At 54.5% G+C, this 16,288-nt stretch overlaps 1 protein-coding gene across 2 annotated transcripts, besides 11 other annotated features; it reads right to left on the bottom strand.

Moving 5' to 3' along the window:
- Positions 134 to 903: an enhancer, noted in NCBI's record as "H3K27ac-H3K4me1 hESC enhancer chr19:41831367-41832136 (GRCh37/hg19 assembly coordinates)". NCBI's record gives its function as "activates a minimal SCP1, AML or CMV promoter by ChIP-STARR-seq in naive H9 embryonic stem cells {active_cell/tissue: H9 hESC(naive)}" and the evidence as "EXISTENCE:reporter gene assay evidence [ECO:0000049][PMID:30033119]".
- Positions 904 to 1,673: an enhancer, noted in NCBI's record as "H3K27ac-H3K4me1 hESC enhancer chr19:41830597-41831366 (GRCh37/hg19 assembly coordinates)". NCBI's record gives its function as "activates a minimal SCP1, AML or CMV promoter by ChIP-STARR-seq in naive H9 embryonic stem cells {active_cell/tissue: H9 hESC(naive)}" and the evidence as "EXISTENCE:reporter gene assay evidence [ECO:0000049][PMID:30033119]".
- Positions 1,165 to 1,264: a silencer, noted in NCBI's record as "silent region_10657". NCBI's record gives its function as "represses an Ori minimal core promoter by ATAC-STARR-seq in GM12878 lymphoblastoid cells {active_cell/tissue: GM12878}" and the evidence as "EXISTENCE:reporter gene assay evidence [ECO:0000049][PMID:35858748]".
- CCDC97 (coiled-coil domain containing 97) lies at positions 1,492 to 16,193 on the bottom strand. 2 transcript variants are annotated; one of them, NM_052848.3, is made up of 5 exons: positions 16,009 to 16,193; positions 9,526 to 9,981; positions 6,513 to 6,791; positions 5,895 to 6,024; positions 1,492 to 3,770 (listed from the first exon to the last, which is right to left on the bottom strand). In NM_052848.3, exons 1-5 carry the CDS (start codon positions 16,052 to 16,054, stop codon positions 3,650 to 3,652), a joined length of 1,032 nt encoding a protein of 343 aa, NP_443080.1. In that variant the 5' UTR covers positions 16,055 to 16,193; the 3' UTR covers positions 1,492 to 3,649. The 2 variants fall into 2 exon arrangements, with proteins under 2 accessions (NP_443080.1, NP_001333029.1); NM_001346100.2 differs by lacking the exon at positions 16,009 to 16,193 and adding an exon at positions 15,350 to 15,888.
- Positions 2,444 to 3,213: an enhancer, noted in NCBI's record as "H3K27ac-H3K4me1 hESC enhancer chr19:41829057-41829826 (GRCh37/hg19 assembly coordinates)". NCBI's record gives its function as "activates a minimal SCP1, AML or CMV promoter by ChIP-STARR-seq in primed H9 embryonic stem cells {active_cell/tissue: H9 hESC(primed)}" and the evidence as "EXISTENCE:reporter gene assay evidence [ECO:0000049][PMID:30033119]".
- Positions 2,502 to 2,551: a silencer, noted in NCBI's record as "silent region_10656". NCBI's record gives its function as "represses an Ori minimal core promoter by ATAC-STARR-seq in GM12878 lymphoblastoid cells {active_cell/tissue: GM12878}" and the evidence as "EXISTENCE:reporter gene assay evidence [ECO:0000049][PMID:35858748]".
- Positions 3,312 to 3,798: a silencer, noted in NCBI's record as "fragment chr19:41828472-41828958 (GRCh37/hg19 assembly coordinates)". NCBI's record gives its function as "represses an EF-1alpha promoter that drives an FKBP-Casp9 reporter gene in an ReSE screen in phorbol 12-myristate 13-acetate-treated (for megakaryocytic differentiation) K562 erythroleukemia cells {active_cell/tissue: K562(+PMA)}" and the evidence as "EXISTENCE:reporter gene assay evidence [ECO:0000049][PMID:32094911]".
- Positions 3,967 to 4,261: a silencer, noted in NCBI's record as "tiled region #10656; K562 Repressive non-DNase unmatched - State 25:Art". NCBI's record gives its function as "represses a minimal TATA promoter and a strong SV40 promoter by Sharpr-MPRA in K562 cells {active_cell/tissue: K562}" and the evidence as "EXISTENCE:reporter gene assay evidence [ECO:0000049][PMID:27701403]".
- Positions 3,967 to 4,641: a biological region, named in NCBI's record as "Sharpr-MPRA regulatory regions 2264 and 10656".
- Positions 4,347 to 4,641: a silencer, noted in NCBI's record as "tiled region #2264; K562 Repressive non-DNase unmatched - State 25:Art". NCBI's record gives its function as "represses a minimal TATA promoter and a strong SV40 promoter by Sharpr-MPRA in K562 cells {active_cell/tissue: K562}" and the evidence as "EXISTENCE:reporter gene assay evidence [ECO:0000049][PMID:27701403]".
- Positions 5,696 to 6,433: an enhancer, noted in NCBI's record as "H3K27ac-H3K4me1 hESC enhancer chr19:41825837-41826574 (GRCh37/hg19 assembly coordinates)". NCBI's record gives its function as "activates a minimal SCP1, AML or CMV promoter by ChIP-STARR-seq in naive H9 embryonic stem cells {active_cell/tissue: H9 hESC(naive)}" and the evidence as "EXISTENCE:reporter gene assay evidence [ECO:0000049][PMID:30033119]".
- Positions 15,858 to 16,147: an enhancer, noted in NCBI's record as "active region_14674". NCBI's record gives its function as "activates an Ori minimal core promoter by ATAC-STARR-seq in GM12878 lymphoblastoid cells {active_cell/tissue: GM12878}" and the evidence as "EXISTENCE:reporter gene assay evidence [ECO:0000049][PMID:35858748]".

Below are 16,288 nucleotides of genomic sequence, written 5' to 3'. Positions count from 1 at the left end.
TTGTGTGGGTCTGTTTTGCATCATCGTTGAGGGGATTTCGCGTTCTCAGCAGGGGTGGATGTGTGTTTGTGAGCAGCTGCGAGTGTGGGTCCACATTGTGTGCTGGTGTTTTCAGGGGAGGGGGACAGGGTGCGTCCATGGAGCCGCCTGCATCATGAGCGGCCAGTGCCTGTTGGCCTCCATACCCAGCGCAGGCTGTGTCTGCGGCGCGTCCCCTTGCCGGCTGGTGCCACGCTGGCTCGGAGCTGGCTGTGGCAGCAGGCAAGGCAGGGCAGGGCAGGGGCTGTGGTGGGCACTGGACCCACGCCCAGCCTCGGTATAAATATCCCAGGCTGCCGGCGGCTGTGTTTGCTGTGTTTACTCGGCCTCAGCCCCGGCCGGGGGCGGCAGCAGCCCAGCAGGTCCTGGGGGCGGGGGTGACCAGGCCACAGCACAGACATTTCCTTCTGGCCAGACAGGCCCCGCAACCTTGCTGCCCCCTCCTGCGCCCTTTCTGGGTGGGCGAGAGGCGATGACCCCTCATTCTGGGTTTCCAGTGGCCGCCAGTGAGGCTCCAACCTGGATATCCCAGCCGGGCTTCCCAGAGTGTGGGAGACAGAGGAGATGGGGGGCACGGGGGGCGGGCCAAGACACACAGCAGCGAGAGGGAAAGGGCAAAGTGAGGAGAGGACAGAGCCCCCCAGAGGGAGACTCCAGCAGAGAAAGGGATGGGGAAACGAGGTGACAGGAGCTGAGAACAGAGATGGAGAATGGCTGGGGACACGGAGTGGAAAAGGTGGGGAGGAGAGGGAGGGAGGGAGGGAGGGAGAGGCATGGGAAAAACAAGGGAGGAGAGAGAGGGGAGACGGAAAGTCACGGGGAGACACCGACAGCCAGAGGTGTGGAGACAGAACGAGAAGACAGAGCAGTGGCGGTGAGGGAGGAAGGCAGAGGGCTGGAAAGAAACGCACAGAAGCAGGGAGAAGGGACGGGGGACAGAGGGACAGAGTGACTGGAGCTGGAGGGGGAAGAGTGCAGGGAGGCAGCTTGCTTTGGCAGGACGCATGGAGGTGTCAGACGTGGGGGGCGGGGTGGCGGCCAGGCCAGCGAGCCAGGCCAGGGCCAGGACGGACAGGAGACACGGGGGTGGGGGCCGGATGCCCACCTAGGGGTTGTCTCCCAGCGGGGCCCGCCCTCCCTGACTCAGCCTTTCCACCTACCCCGACCCCGGGAGAACTGGGAGGGGGATGGGAGGCACCCGCCCTGGGGCCCACCACCCCCAGGTCTCAGAGGCAGTGACCAGGGGGTGTGTCTCCCGTCATCCCTACCCCACTCTGTCTCCACCTCTCTTCCTGTCTCCCCATCTAATCCCTGTCCCTGGGACTGGCTCCACCTCTGTCTGTCAGCTAGATGCTCACGTCTTGACCATCTGACTAACCCTAATTCTGACTCAATTTCTGTGTCTCTCATCGCTTTTTAAAAACCTACACAACAAATTTACGTATAGCAAAGTATATTGTAAACAAATTTAATGACCAAATGATAGACTGGTAAAAAATGTGCCTATCACCAAGGGCTGATACCTTTCCTGTGGCCCAGGCCCTCTGCTCTTTAAAAATGGGGCACAAATACAGGCAGGTAAGAGACAGACAGCTCTCATCCTGCACTCTTGGCTTTCTGAGAGATATGACCCCAAGGTCCTGGAGTCTAGCTGCTGCTTCCTCCTCTGGGAAATAGAGGAGTGATATTGGTAGTACCTAGGGCATAGCACTGCTGGGACAATTCAGTGATTTGGGGACTGATCTCCATATCAAGATGACCTGATCCTGTCTGTGTGCGGGACAGTGGCTAGCACGGAGCCCTTGTTAGGCCCGCCTACCATCTGACCCTTCTCAAACCTTCCCGTCTGAGGACATCTGCATGCACACTTGTCCCTCCAATGCTGTCTCACTCTGGATGGCCCTGACACCTGAGAGGCCAGACAGCCAAGTGGTTTCTAGGACCTTTGTGATTCTAGGCCTGGGTTCCTGTTTCATTTCTGCCTCTGATGGCCGAGTGGCCTTGAGGAAGCAACATCTTTCCAGGCCTCCTTTGACCCACTTCACTAGTTCATGGGGCCATCTGAGGATCCAACCCGGTGTCAGGCACTTCGCTCGGGCCTGACAGAGGACAGAAGCGCTCCGTAGCAGAGGCTTTCGTTCTTTAATAGTCGCTCTGAGCATCTTGTCTGCCTCCATCCAGCTCTCACTTTCCCTGTCTGGCTCTAATTCTGGTTGACCCAGAGGGCATAGCTGAGGCTCGGAGGTCAGGAACCGTGGACTCCAGGAGGCAGTTTTGAGGGTCCTTCAGGCTTGGCCACGGCAGGATACCACCATTCCATCTCAGAGGCATGAGGAGTCCCTAGGCCCCGACTTGGTGACCCTTGCCCTGTGTGCCCCCTCAACAGTGGCCAGGCCCTCCTGTGTGTGTCTGCTGGGGGAGCAGGAGCCGGGTGTGGGGGCATGGGAAGGCGGGACGCCTGGGTTCCCACAGGCCCGGTGGCTGAGTCACCAGGCGGCCATCTGGCTCCCATTAGCCCAGGGCGGCAGGGGGCTCCATGGGGCGGGCCCTGCGGCCAGCTGGGGGCAGGGACGCTGGGGCAGGCTGTGTGTGGGATGACTCAGGACCCATGATAACAGCCTGTGCGCATTTGGGGAGTGTAAACAGGAGAGGGAGAGGAAGGCGGAGGAAGGGAAAATTGTGGTTGGGCAGAGGGGGGCTGGTGGGGCTGAGAAGGGTAGAGTCCCCCCTCCCTCTACACTCAAGCTGGCAGGCCCCGTGATCCACAGCCTGGGTCCTGGGGAGAGAAGAGAGCTGCCCCCATCCTCCCTGCCTGGGGTCTCCTCCCTCCCCTGGGGCTGTATTACTCAGTGGTCAGGGTTCTGCTGCCTATAGCAGCCAGGTTTGAGGGAAGGGGGAAGAAGGGGCCCAGAGCCTGGAGTGGGGGATCAAAACCCAGAGATAAAGGCTGAGAGACAGACAGAGAGGGACAGTGAGAGCAGAGGCCTAGAGAGGTGGAAATGTACAAGTAGAAAGAAGAGGCCCAGAGTGAGGCAGAAGGAGAGATGGGAACCTAACAGAAGCAAGGAGGCTCTGAGTGTGAGACACAGCGCAGACATAAACAGAGAGGGGGAGACAGACAGCACGGGAGGCAGCTGCGCTGGGGCCTAGGGGTCAGCACCGGAACCAAACTGGCCACTTCCAGCCACGAAAGGCCCTGCCAGCTGGCCTCCGGCAAGGGGAGGACTTTCACCTTGGGCCCTGCGGTGGAGACAGAGCCTAAGGCAGAGAGAGAGGGGGAGAAAGGGAGAGACAGCCAGCCAGAGCACTGGAAAGAGGGAGCGGGGGTAGGGAGAGAGACAGAAAGACAGAAAGAGACAGAAAGAAGCCCAGACAGACACCAAGAAAGACAGAGGCAGGAGACAGGGTGGGAGAGATGAGAAAGGGAACCCCAGAAACAGTGGGGGTGGGGGTTGTCTGAGATGAGACTAGACCCAGTGAGATGGTGGTGTGTGTGGGTTGTGGGGCACTGCCCTGATGTCCCCCTAGAGAAAGGGTCACTGAGCAGGCCTGGAATCAGCTGCCTTGTTGGGGATGGGGATGGGGCAGGCGGTGGGAAGGGTGGCGGCCATCAGTCCCCATCCAGCTCTGGGCTGGGCGCATCCTCAGGTTCTTCCTCATCAAAGTACCTCTCCTCCTCATCCCGTGCCACGATGTCGAGGTTGTCGAAGTCGGGGTTGTCGTCTACTGTGCTGCAGGAGGAGGAGGCTGTCAAGGACTGGGTCTCCCTGGGACCCTCGGATGCCCAGGTCAAAGGCCTGGGGCACCCTGATGTCAAAGGCCATGTGCTGGCAGCCGTCAGAGCTGACCCTCCCAAGGGAGATAGTGTTTAAAACTCTCAGGGTTTAAAACTCAAGGGAACATTTTCCAAATCAGAGTTTGCACAAAAACTCTGGGCTGGGCATGGTGGCTCATGCCTGCAATCCCAGCACTATGGGAGGCCAAGGCAGGAAGATGGCTTGAGCCCAGCAGTTGGAGCCCTGGGCAACAAAGGGAGACCCTGTCTCTACAAAAAAATTGAAAAAGTAGCCAGGCGTGGTGGTGAGCACCTGTAGTCCCAGCTTACTCAGTTGGCTGAGGCGGGAGGCTCACTTCAGGCCAGGAGGTCAAGGCTGCGGTGAGCTATGATCAAACCACCACATTCCAGCCTGGGTGACAAAGGAGACCCTGTCTAAAAAAAACCCCAAAGCTCTAGTTTTTCTTAAAAAGCTGTAAAATGTGGCGACACATGGGCTTACATTCTCAAGCAGGCAGTGGCTCTCAACAAAGAACCACTTGGGGGTAATTTTGCCCCCACGGCATTTTGACATTTTGACGTCATCACTGGGGGCTTGCTACTGCCCTCCAGTGGATAGAGGCCGGGATTAGCCAGAGCTGACCACAGGCAGGACAGCTGCCCATGCCCTAAGGCAGCAAGTAAACCCAGCAGCACGCACTTGGGTTGCCAAGCCTAGCTTGATTTGGCCACTCAGAGATCTCCTACCCCCTTGCGACCCCTTGCGACTGCTCCAGCCCCTTCTGCCCCTTGGTGCTGCTGGGGGCTCTGGCACCTACTATGGCCTCTGCCAGGAATGCTCCTCCCACTTCCTGCAGGCCTTTGCTGTCAGCCCCTCAGAGAGGCCTTCCCTAGCCACCCTGTCACTCCCCTCCCACTGCTTCACTTTTCCTCATGGCCCCATCACCATGAAGTGCTAGAAAATTCTAGATCTTCCTCACTAGAGTGGGACCCCTTTTCAGGCAGGGAAGCCTTTCGTTGGTTTTGGTCCCCGCCTTATCCCCAGAGCCTGTGGACATCACAGATGCTCAGCACATGCCAACTGAATGCACGGATGGGGGACACGTCGGGGCCACTGCTGCCCTCCCGAGGCAACACACTGTGGTCCCTGCCACCCCCAATTTCCTCCTGGGCCCTGGCTTGGGAACAGCAGTGATGCCTGCTGAATGAGGGTCCCCATGGTCCAGGCCCTCTGCTCACCACTTTGCGTGCAGGAACTGGGGCTCTGAGCAGGCCTGCCTGGCTGGAAGTGGAGCAGCCAGATTCCATTCAAGAGCCAGGGATCCCAGAATGGGAGGAGGCTCTGGTGACCATGGCTGGGCCCCACGGCAGGGGCAATCACAATTCCCACTTTCCTGATGAGCCCACCTCAGGACGGACGTAGGGTCCGCTTATGTGTGGTCACACATTTCACATGTCATCGGGGCTGGATGTGAAACCAAGGAGGGTCCTCTGCTGCTGGGCCCAGTGTTTGGGACCACAAGGCAAAGCTACCTTAAATGACAAAACCAATCTTTGACTGACACATCACTCTCCTGGGTCCTTTTCCAAAGCAGGTGGCCCACGTGTCTCAGCCCTGGGGTGCTACTGGAGAAATGAACAACTGTAACTGTGGGGGCAGCCAGTGCAGGCCCCTCCATGCCGGGCATGAACTTTGCCAGGGGTTACTTCCTGCAGCATGAGGAGGTCCAAGGTGAAGCGGAAGAGGTTGGGCTTCCTAGGGAGACTTGGGGGGCTTGGGGTAGTAGCCTCTGCCATTGCCAGGAGGGAAGTGTTTCAGGGTTTCATTGATACTGAGCTATATGTCATCCCTGTCCATCCCCTGCCTTAGAGGTGAGGAGACTGAGGGTCTGAGATGGACAAGGCTAGTCCGAGGTCACCCAGCCTCTTCCTTTGGCTGTTCAACCCCACATCCTGGAACTGTTTTGGGGCCTTGTAGCTCCACAAAGGGAGACCCCCACAGCTTGTTAAGGGCTCTGCATGTGACCAAAGGCCGTGGGATGCTGGGCTGGGGGATGGGGAGGTGGAGGCACAGGAGCACCTGTAGTCAAAGTCCCCGTCCTTGCCATCTAGGAAGCGCTGGTGCATGCGGCTGGTGAACTCCTCTCGCAGGATCAGCCTCTCCTCCGAGTCGGGAACCCAGGCCTCCGAGTCCTTGCCTGACCTCTGGTCTGCAGAGGGAGAGGAGAGGGGGTGTGAATGCGGGTGCACTCGGGCAGGCACTGAGCACAGAGTCCACAGAGAGCTGCTGCTCCTGTGCCCAGCCTTGCGCTGGGTGGCTCTGGGAACACACTAGTGACAGAGATGGCCCTGGTCCCTGCCCTCCAGGGACACGCATAAAACACATGACCATATAGTGCTCTGGAGACTGTATCCTCGGGTCAGGATCTGAGACCTGAAGGGTGGGAGGAGAGGCATTCCTGGCGGAGGGAACAGCCTGTCCAGACCTGGAGGCGAGGGTTCATTTGGTGCCTCAGAGTGGGGGATGGGGATGCTGCAGCGGTTGGAAGGGCATACACAGAGAGTCAGGCTGGGCAGGGGAGGGACGCAATGTCGGCTTTTGCAGGTTGGGGGCCCAGCCTGCTGCCATGAAGTGGAGACAGACAGGCCTAGGGCTGGGGTGTCTGGAATCTGGGGTCTTCCTGCTACTGGCCCTCACCTTCCTCGTCACTGTCCTCCTCCTCTTCCTCTTCCTCCAAGCAGGCCTCCTCCTCCTCCTGCTGTTGGAGCAGACGCTGCTGTAGCTCCCGCTCCTCGTAGGACTGGAGCAGCAAGTTGGAGAGCGGGCAAGCAGGTCTCCCGGGGGACCCGGGCTTGGGGGGCTGGTGGGTTGGGGTGCGGGCACTGAGCTCCTCCTGGGTGAGATACTGCCCGATGTACTGCTCATATAGCAGGGGGGCCCGGAACCGCATCTGCTCATCACTGAAGTACTCGCCCCCTGCACAGAGGAGAGACAGGGTGGGCATGGGGTGAGCGACTGAGCAGATAGTGTCCATGTGGGTATGTGTGTGATCATGCTTGTGGGATGATGTGCATACACAGTCCAAGTGTGTGTATGCACACATTCAAAAACACAGGAAAACATGCAGGCACCTGAGGTGCGCGTGAGTACTCATGCAGGCGCCTGAGGCGTGCGTGTGAATAATGCAGGCGCCTGAGGCATGCACGTGAATACTCATGCAGGTGCCTGAAGCTGTGTGCGCAAGCACTCATGCAGGCACCTGAGGTCATGTGCATGTGATTACTCGTGCAGGCACCTGAGTGTGTGTATGTGGCCCGGCCTCTATCTTCCTGTGTATTCATGTATTCATGCATCCAAGCATGTGTGTGCATGGGCAGACCTGGCTACATCCTGGCCTCTGAGGCTCTGACGGTCTGGAGCTCGTGTACAACTGTGTCCAGGCACGATGCACAAGCTCCTGCCCATGGACGTGTACATGGCCTATGTACACACACATGTCCTGTGAGGCCCAGCATATGCCCACAGACACCTGTCTGTCTGGGTGTCAGCATGCAGGACAATGCAGCAGAAGTTGTGTGTCTCTAGGTTGTGTGCCTGTTTGTGGGGCCCTAGTCTGGCTGGCAGTGGACACGCCTTCACTGTGGGGCGTGTATGTGTGTACATCCACGTGGATTTGGCATGTGTGTGCAAGGGATCAGGTCAGGTGGGGCATCTGCCCGTGTATCCCTGGGAAAGCCTCCTGGTGGTGGAAGGCCCTAGATCCATCCTCTCTCGAGTGCTCCTCTATGCAGCAACCCCTCAGGTGGGCCTGGCTTCCCCACTACCCCAAAACTTGAGTTCCCTGCATCACCCCTGGCTGCCTGTTTCTGCACGAGTGACTCTGTCCCTCAAATAACAGTTAAACCTGCCCTGGTCCCTCCCCTCCACTGGTCCTAGCCGTGTCTTCAGAGTCCAGGGCAAAGAAACTGCTCGGACTCCTGGCCTCTGCAGCACCATAGGCTGTGACTGTCCCTGTCCTGCTCAGCTTCCCCACTCCTGCCAGCAATCTTACCCCCAGCTGTTTGTGGCATCCTCTAGCAGACTCAGTTTTTTGAGATGGAGTCTCGCTCTGTTGCCCAGGCTGGAGTGTAGTGGTGTGATCTCGATTAACTCTAACTGCAACCTCCGCCTCCCGGGTTCAAGTGATTCTCCTGCCTCAGCCTCCTGAGTAGCTGGGATTATAGGCACCTGCCACAGTGCCTGGCTAATTTTTTTTGTATTTTTAGTAGAGCCGGGGTTTCACCATGTTGGCCAGGCTGGTCTTGAACTCCTTATCTCAAGTGATTTGCCTGCCTCGGCCTCCCAAAGTGCTGGGATTACAGGTCTGAGCCACTGTGCCCAGCCTCTAGCAGATTCAGTTTCTATCCCTCCTTCTCCCCAACTTGGATTATCACCCACCCCGGCTCTGGATCTCTCTCCATCTCTTCCTTTATCTCCATCTTTCTATCTTTCCTGCTTTTTTCAGTTTCTGTCACCTACCCCCACCTCATTCATCTTTCTTCTTTTTTTTTTTTTTTTGGCAACCTCCACCTCCCAGATTCATGTAATTCTCCTCCCTCAGCCTCCCAAGTAACTGAGATTACAGTTGCCTGCCACCACATGTGGCTAATTTTTTTGTATTTTTAGTAGAGATGGGGTTTCACCATGTTGGCCAGGCTGCTCTGGAACTCCTGACCTCAGGTCCACCCCCACCTCGCCCTCCCAAAGTGCTGGGATCACCGGCTTGAGTGACTGTGCCCGGCCCATCTTCCTTCTGTTTTCATCCTCATTTCCACATCTGTGTTTTTTTTTTTTTTTTTTGAGACAAGATCTGGCTTTATCGCCCAGGCTAGAGCTTAGTGGTGGGATCTCAGCTCACACAACTTCCACCTCCCAGGCTCAAGCAATTCTCCCACCTCAGCCTTCTGAGTAGCTAGGGCGCCACCACACCCAGCTAATTTTTGTATTTTTTGTAGAGACAGCATTTCGCCATGTTGCCCAGGCTGGTCTTGAACTCATGAGCTCAAGTAATCTACCCACCTTGACCTCCCAAAGTGCTGGGATTACAGGCATAAGCCATCATGCCCAGCCTCTCTCTCTTTCTCTGTGAACCTCTCTATAACTTGTGCCTTCTCCCTAACGGCAACTTAACTCACTCTGCTTCATTCACTCTCATCTTTTAACTTTGGTTCTGGTGTTGTGGTCACAAGGATGCTTTTAATTATGTCATGGTCAAAAAGCTATCTTTTTTTTCCTTCATGGTTTTCACCGTGTGTCTTGTTCAGAAGGCTTCTGTGTCCCCAAGGTCATGTACATACTCCTTTTGGTTTCCCCTGATGCCTCTGTATATGGTATGAGGTAGGGATCTCATGTTTTGTTCCTTAGGTATGACCAATTATCACAGCACTGTGTACTGTGTCCTCAGCCTACCAATCTGAAATGCCACTTCTAACATCTACTAAATTCTGATCTATTCTCATTGTCTGTCCCATTCTCTTCCCTGGACCCCTGTCTATCTCTCCCCCTTACTTTACATTTCTGTCTCAGTCTCTTCCTGTGTCCCTGTCTCTGTCTCAGAACTTCTCTCCCAGGATCTCTGTCTCTGCTCTTGTATTCTTTTCTCTAATTCCCTCTGCCTCAGTCTCCCCTCCCTCCCCATATGTGCCCACTGTCGCCCATCTGGCCCCCACACCTTGGATCAGCTCTCGCAGGGCAGCATAGCGCCGGTTACGCAGGCGGGTACGCAGGGTGCGGGGCCGGGCAGTGCCCTGCCGGGCCACCTCAGCACAGTAGAAGTCTGCACGGTGGTCGCCACGCACGTGGCCAAAGCAGGCCAGATGCTCCTCACGGAGGCCTGTGCGGAAGCGCTCCAGGAACACCAGTGGCTTCTCGTGGTACAGCTGGGCCAGGATGGCCACTTTCTCATGCTCTGTCAAGTCGGGTTCACCCTGCTGCTGGCTGCAAACAGGCAGGCGGCTGGCGGCTACAGCGTGCAGCATAGCACTCACTGCTGCATTTTCAGCCCCGGAGGTGTCACTGTCCAGGGCCACTGGTGTTGCCTCAGCTGCTTCCACTTTGTCCTGGGGTTTAGATGGGACTGGTGTCCGGCTCAGCTCACCCCAGTGCCCAGGTCCAGGCTCTATGCAGCCTGAGGAAAGGAGAGATTGGTTAGTTCAGAGATGGGAGTGTGGGAAGGGACTGGGGGCTTAGTCACTCACTCAGCTCACATTTACTGGGCACTGACTATATTCTGGGCACTGTTCTGGGCACTAGAGAAACCACAGTGAGCAAAAGTTGACATTTCAGTAGGGGACACAAACAATTAGCAACATAATTACCGAAAACATAATGTGTTAGGTGTTTCCTGGAGTTATGCGGAAAAATAAACAGGGAAGGAGGAGGGAAGAGGTGGAGGAGGCTGCAATTTTATTTTATTTTCGAGACAGGGTCTTGCTCGGTCACCCAGGCTGGAGTGCAGGGCGCAATCACAGCTCACTGCAGCCTTGACCGCCTGGGCTTGAGCGATCCTCCCATCTCAGCCTCCCGTGTAGCTAGGACCACAGGCATATACCACCATGCCTGTGTAATTTTTAAATTTTTTGTAGAGACAGGGTATTGACATGTTACTCAGGCTGGTCTCGAACTCCAGGGCTCCAGCAATCCTCCTGCCTTGGCCTCCCAAAGTGCTGGGCATTAAAGGTGTAAGCCACTGTGACTGGCCTATTTTTATTTTTATTTTTTAAGAGATAAGGCCTTGCTCCATTGCCAGGCTGGAGTGCAATGGCACAACCATGGTTCACTGTAACCCTGAACTCCTGGGCTCAAGCAATCCTCCCACCTCAGCCTCCTGAGCAGCCAGGACTACAGGCATGCACAACCATACTCAGTTAATCTTTAAATTTTTTTTTCTTTTTTTTTTTTGAGATGGAGTTTTGCTCTTGTTGCCCAGGCTGGAGTGCAATGGCGTGAGATCTGCCCACTGCAACTGCCGCCTCCTGGGTTCAAGTTATTGTGGTTGGTGCCTCAGCCTCCCAACTAGCTGGGATTACAGGTACAAGCCAAATGCCTGGTTAATTTTTGTATTTTTAGTAGAGACAGGGTTTCGCTATGTTGGCTAGGCTGGTCTCCAACTCCTGACCTCAGGTGATCCACTCCCCTTCGGCCTCCCAAAGTGCTGGGATTACAGGTGTGTGCCACTGCACCCTGCCAATCTTTTTTTTTTTTTTTTTTTTTTTGAGACGGAGTCTCGCTCTTTCGCCCAGGCTGGAGTGCAGTGGAGCAATCTTGATTCACTGCAACCTCCGCCTCAGGTTCAAGCAATTCTCTGCCTCAGCCTCCCGAGCAGCTGGGATTACAGGTACCTGCCACCATGCCCGGCTAATTTTTGTATTTTTAGTACAGACAGGGTTTCACCATCTTGGCTGTGCTGGTCTCGAACTCCTGACCTCGTGATCCACCCGCCTCGGCCTCCCAAAGTGCTGGGATTACAGGCGTGAGCCACTGCGCCTGGCCTGCACCCTGCCAATCTTTAAATTAAAAAAAAAAAAAAAAAGTTTCAGTAAAGACAAGGTCTCACTAGGTTGCCCAGGGTGGTCTCAATCTCTTGAGCTCAGGCAATCCTCCCACCTCGATCTTCCAAAGTGCTGGAATTACAGGCGTGCACCACTGGACCCGGCCTAATTTTAATTTTTTTTGGTAGAGACAGGGTCTTGCTGTGTTGCCCAGGCTGGTCTTGAACTCCTGGCCTCAAGTGATCCTCCTGCCTCAGGCTTCCAAAGTGCTGAGATTACAGTGTAAACCACCATGCCTGGCCAAGGCTGCAATTTTAAATGGAAGGCTCAGAGAAGGCTTTGCCAAAAAAGTGACATTTGATTAGAGACCTCAGGTGGTGAGGGATTAAGCCATGAGGTCTCTTGGAAAAGAGAATTCCAGGCAGAGGCAACAACTACTGCAAAGGCCCTGAGGCCTGACTTATTGATCCACTCAATTCTTTAAATCGTTAATACATTTGCTAATTTGTTTACTCATTCATTCACTCTCTCATGCATTCATGCGTTCACCCAACCACTCTTTAATAACTCTAAATCTTAGGCCGGGCGCGGTGGCTTGCGCCTGTAATCCCAGCACTTTGGGAGGCTGTGGCAGGTGGATCACCTGAGGTCGGGATTTCAAGACCAGCCTGACCAACTGGGAGAAACCCCGTCTCTACTAAAAATACAAAATCAGCCATTGTGGCACATGCCTGTAATCCCAGCTACTCGGGAGGCTGAGGCAGGAGAATAGCTTGAACCTGGGAGGCAGAGGTTGCGGTGAGCCAAGATCGTGCCATTGCACTCCAGTCTGGGCAACAAGAGCAAAACTCTAAAAAAAAAAAAAGAAAAAAAAACACTAAATCTCTGAGAGGCCCTAAGTCAGGCAATGCTGAGGATCCATAGGATGAATCCAGTCCAGCTCCTGCCCTCAGGGAGCACCCAGTCTGATGTGGGAGACAGTCAGGATCAACAATAATATGGGCAAAGAAAACAGGAAAGCTGGCTGGGCACCATGGCTCATGCCTGTAATCCAGCACTTTGGGAGGCCGAGGTGGGCAGATCACTTGAGGCCACAAATTCAAGACCAGCCTGGCCAACATGGTGAAACCCTCTCTCTATTAAAAATACAAAAATCAGCTGGGCATGGTGGTGGGCACCTGTAATCCCTGCTACTCAGGAAGCAGAGGCACAAGAATCGCTTGAACCCATGAGGCAGAGGTTGCAGTGAGCCGAGATCAGCCATTGCACTCCAGCCTGGGTGACAGAGTGAAGACTCTGTCTCAAAAAAATGGAAAGAAAACAGGAAAGCGGAGCGCTGGGCAAACCTTGGTGAGACTTGTTTCCCAAGAGTGGAGGGAGCAAGCCTGCGGCAAGCAGGAAATACGTGAAAACAGAATATAGAGACAACTTTAAGCAGCGTGGCTGGGTTGGGGAGGAAAGAAGTCACAGGTGACATACATGTGTTGTGTGTATCAGGGAGGATTTAAATCACTGATGCAGCTGAAGACTGAGCTGGACAAGGGCAGGGGCTGTGGAGGAAGGAACAGGATCATGAGTGAGCGAATCAGAAAGATGTCAGGAGGCTGAGTGGAGGAGCCACAGGGCTGACGTGCTGGAAGTAAGGGAGGCATCCAGGGGAATGGTCCGACTGCTGCTACACGGGCCTCCAGACTCCTCAGGAGAGAAATGTTGGGCTGGAGACAGAGCTGTGGGTGTCATCAGAATCAAGACAAGAACCAAAGCCAAGAGAAATGAGAGGTAGGGACTGGGGAGGGCACAGGGGAGTGGGAGAGGGATGACAAGAGGGTCCAGGAAAAAGCACTGCACAGATGCGGGGAGGACATGCCTCTGAAGCTAAAAACTGGCTGTGCAAAAGATAGCTACATCGTAATCCCTGGAGCCCATTACTGTTATCTTAAAAAAAAAGAGGCCGGTTGCAATGGCTCACCCCTGTAATCCCAGCACTTTGGGAGGCCAAGGTGAGAGAATCACTTCAGGTCAGGAGCTCAAGACCAGCTTGGCCAACATGGCGCTCTACCAAAAATACAAAAAATTAGCCAGGTGTGGTGGCGCACTCCTGTAGTCCCAGGTACTCAGGAGGCTGAGGTAGGAGAATTGTTTGAACTCCGGAGGCAGAGGTTGCAGTGAACCGAGATCACGTACTCCAGCCTGGTCAACAGAGCGAGACTCCGTCTTAAAAAAAAAGAAGGCAACGTCAAAAGGGGAAGCAGAGATTGGAGTGATGTAGCCACATGCCAAGGAATTCCAGAAACCACCACTGGCTGGAAGAGGCAAGAAATGGGTTTTCTCCCAGAGCCTGTGGGGAAGCACGACCCTGCAGACACCTGGATTTCAGTTCAGCAACACTGACTTCAGCCTTCTGGCCTTGAGAACTATGAGAGAATAAAGTTCTGTTGTTTGAAGCCATGCAGTTTGTAGTACTTTGTTACAGCACCCCTGGGAAACAAAGTCAGGCTGAGAAGGAGCAGCCTGAGAGACAGGCAGGAAATCAGGCACTGTGGTGTCGCTGAAGCCAAAGGAAAACATGCAAAAAGGATGGAAGGATCAACAGCATTTAATTCTAGTCCAGTCTAGTAAGAAAAAAAACCTGAATGGGCCAAGTGTGGTGGCTCACACCTGTAATCCCAGCACTATGGGAGGCTGAGGCAGGAGGATCTCTTGAGGTCAGAAGTTCGAGGCCAGCCTGGCCAACATGGTGAAACCCCATCTCTACTAAAAATATACAAAATTAGACAGGCATAGTGGCGGGCACCTGTGATCCCAGCTACTTGGGAGGCTGAGGCACGGGAATCACTTGAACCTGGGAGGTGGAGGTTGCAGTGAGCTGAGATCATGCCACTGCACTCCAGCCTGGGCAACAGAGTGAGACTCTCTCAAAAAACAAACAAACAAACAAAAACCTGAATGGGGGGACTGAATTGAACAACATGGGGGAAGTCAGTGCAGACCCTAATCAGAGCAGTTTCTTAGGAGAAAAGTCAGACAGTCGTGAGCAGGAGACGAGGAAATGAAGACCAAGTATACATGACTCTCTGAAGGAGACAGATGGGGCCAAGAGACAAATTTTTTTTCTTTTTTTTGAAACAGGGTCTTGCTCTGTTGCTCAGACTGCAATGCAATAGTGCAAACACAGCTCACTGCAGCTTTGACCTCCTGGGCTCAAGTGATCCTCCCGCCTCAGACTCCTGAGTAGCCGGGACCACAGGAATGCACCATCAAACCTGGCTAATTTTTTTTTTTTTGAGACAGAGTTTTGCTCTGTTACCCAGACTGGAGTACAGTGGTGCGATCTCTGCTCACTGCAACCTCCGCCTCCCGGGTTCAAGTGATTCCAGTTGGTGCCTCAGCCTCCCGAGTAGCTGGGATTACAGGCACATACCACGACGCCTGGCTAATATTTGTATTTTTAGTAGAGATGGGGTTTCGCTATGTTGGCTAGGCTGGTCTCCAACTCCTGACCTGAGGTGATCTTCCTGCCTCCGCCTTCCAAAGTGCTGCGATTACAGGTGTAAGCCACCGGGCCCGGCCTTAATTTTTAAATTTTTTGTAGAGATGGGGTCTGGCTATGTTGCCAGTGCTGGTCTCAAACTCCTGGGCTCAAGTCTCACTCTGCTGCAGAGGCTGGAGTGCAGTGGTGTAATAATCTTAGGTCACTGCAATCTCAAAGGATTCGAGTGACACTCCCACCTTAGTCTCCTGAGTAGCTTGTCCTAGCTACTCCCTAGCCACCAGGCCTGGCTAATTTTTAAATGTTTATAGAGATCAGGTTTCTCTCTCTTGCCCAGGCTGGTCTCAAACTCTTGGGCTCAAGCAACTCTCCTGCCTTGGCCTCCCAAAGTGTTGGGATTACAAGCGGGAGCCACTGCACCCGGCCTTAAGACTTTTTTTAGGTTAAATTTTTTATTTTTAGAAAATTTCAAACATACACAAAAGTAGAAAGTACAACGACAATTCTCCCCCTACCTCCATATACCAATCATCTCCATCTGGCTTCCACAATTACCAATTCTTGGCCAGTGGTGTTGGAGCCACGCTTCCAATCACACCTCACCCGACGTCGGATTACTTTGAAGGTTGTGGGAAAGCACAGAAATTGAGTAAGGACTTTGAAAGGAGCCTGGCTGGATTTCGGACTTTGGGGGAAACGGGAGTTACAATGAAATGAAGGAATCGTTAGATTGGGATAAGTTTGCATGAGGCAGGTAGAAGTTTAGCCTGGAAAGGTAGGAGGATTCGTCTAGAGAGCAAGGGAAGGCTCAGCTTGGTACAGGGAAGGAGGTAATTTGAGAAGGGCTGGTCTGAGGCAATGCAGGAATTAGGCCGGGGTAGAGAGGTTTCTGTTAATTTGAGAGTTAGCCTGGTAAGGAAATGAATTAGGGACATGGAAAGGATTGGTCTGGAACTGGGAAGAGGTTAATTTCGGGGGGAAGGAATGGAGGAAAAGAAGGTCAGCCCGCGACAAGGGAGGGAATAATCTGGGCAAAGTAGTGAAGAGGACCGGTAAAGCTGAGGGGGGTGGGTGTCCCCCTAAAACGAGTCCTACTTCGCGTTCCTGGGGGAATCATTTCCTAGAGACACCGCAACCGCACCCACCCGCCGCCTGCGCGTGACCAAGATCTCACCCTTATCGGGTTCCTTCGCCGCCGTCGCCGTCGCCACGGCCTCCATCCTGATTCTCTCGGACTTTTCAACCGCCCGGCGGGCCCCGCACACTAACCTCCGGCCCACGCACGCAAGAGACACTTTCGCCTGAGAATGTTCCGGGTCCGGGTGCACCGCTGCGCCCAGGCACCGAAGTTCCGGGCCTAAGGCAGACGTTGCATTGCGCATGCGTGCCTCTCTCGGGCTCCGCCCTCCGCAGCCAGGAAGGAAAGGGGCTCCCCGGAGAGTGAGAGACCCTTA

This window comes from Homo sapiens, chromosome 19 (genome assembly GCF_000001405.40).
Source record: "Homo sapiens chromosome 19, GRCh38.p14 Primary Assembly".
NCBI lineage: Eukaryota > Metazoa > Chordata > Mammalia > Primates > Hominidae > Homo > Homo sapiens.
This window is presented reverse-complemented; position numbering and strand designations above follow the sequence as displayed.

Excerpts from the sequence above, each read along its gene's own strand:
- CCDC97 (NM_052848.3), bottom strand. The coding sequence starts at position 16,054 with ATGGAGGCCGTGGCGACGGCGACGGCGGCGAAGGAACCCGATAAGG. Across the intron at positions 6,792-9,525 it reads CCTGCGAGAGCTGATCCAAG|GGGGCGAGTACTTCAGTGAT; the intron begins GTGTGGGGGCCA and ends TCCTCTGTGCAG. Across the intron at positions 6,025-6,512 it reads GGAGGACAGTGACGAGGAAG|ACCAGAGGTCAGGCAAGGAC; the intron begins GTGAGGGCCAGT and ends CTCCCTCTGCAG.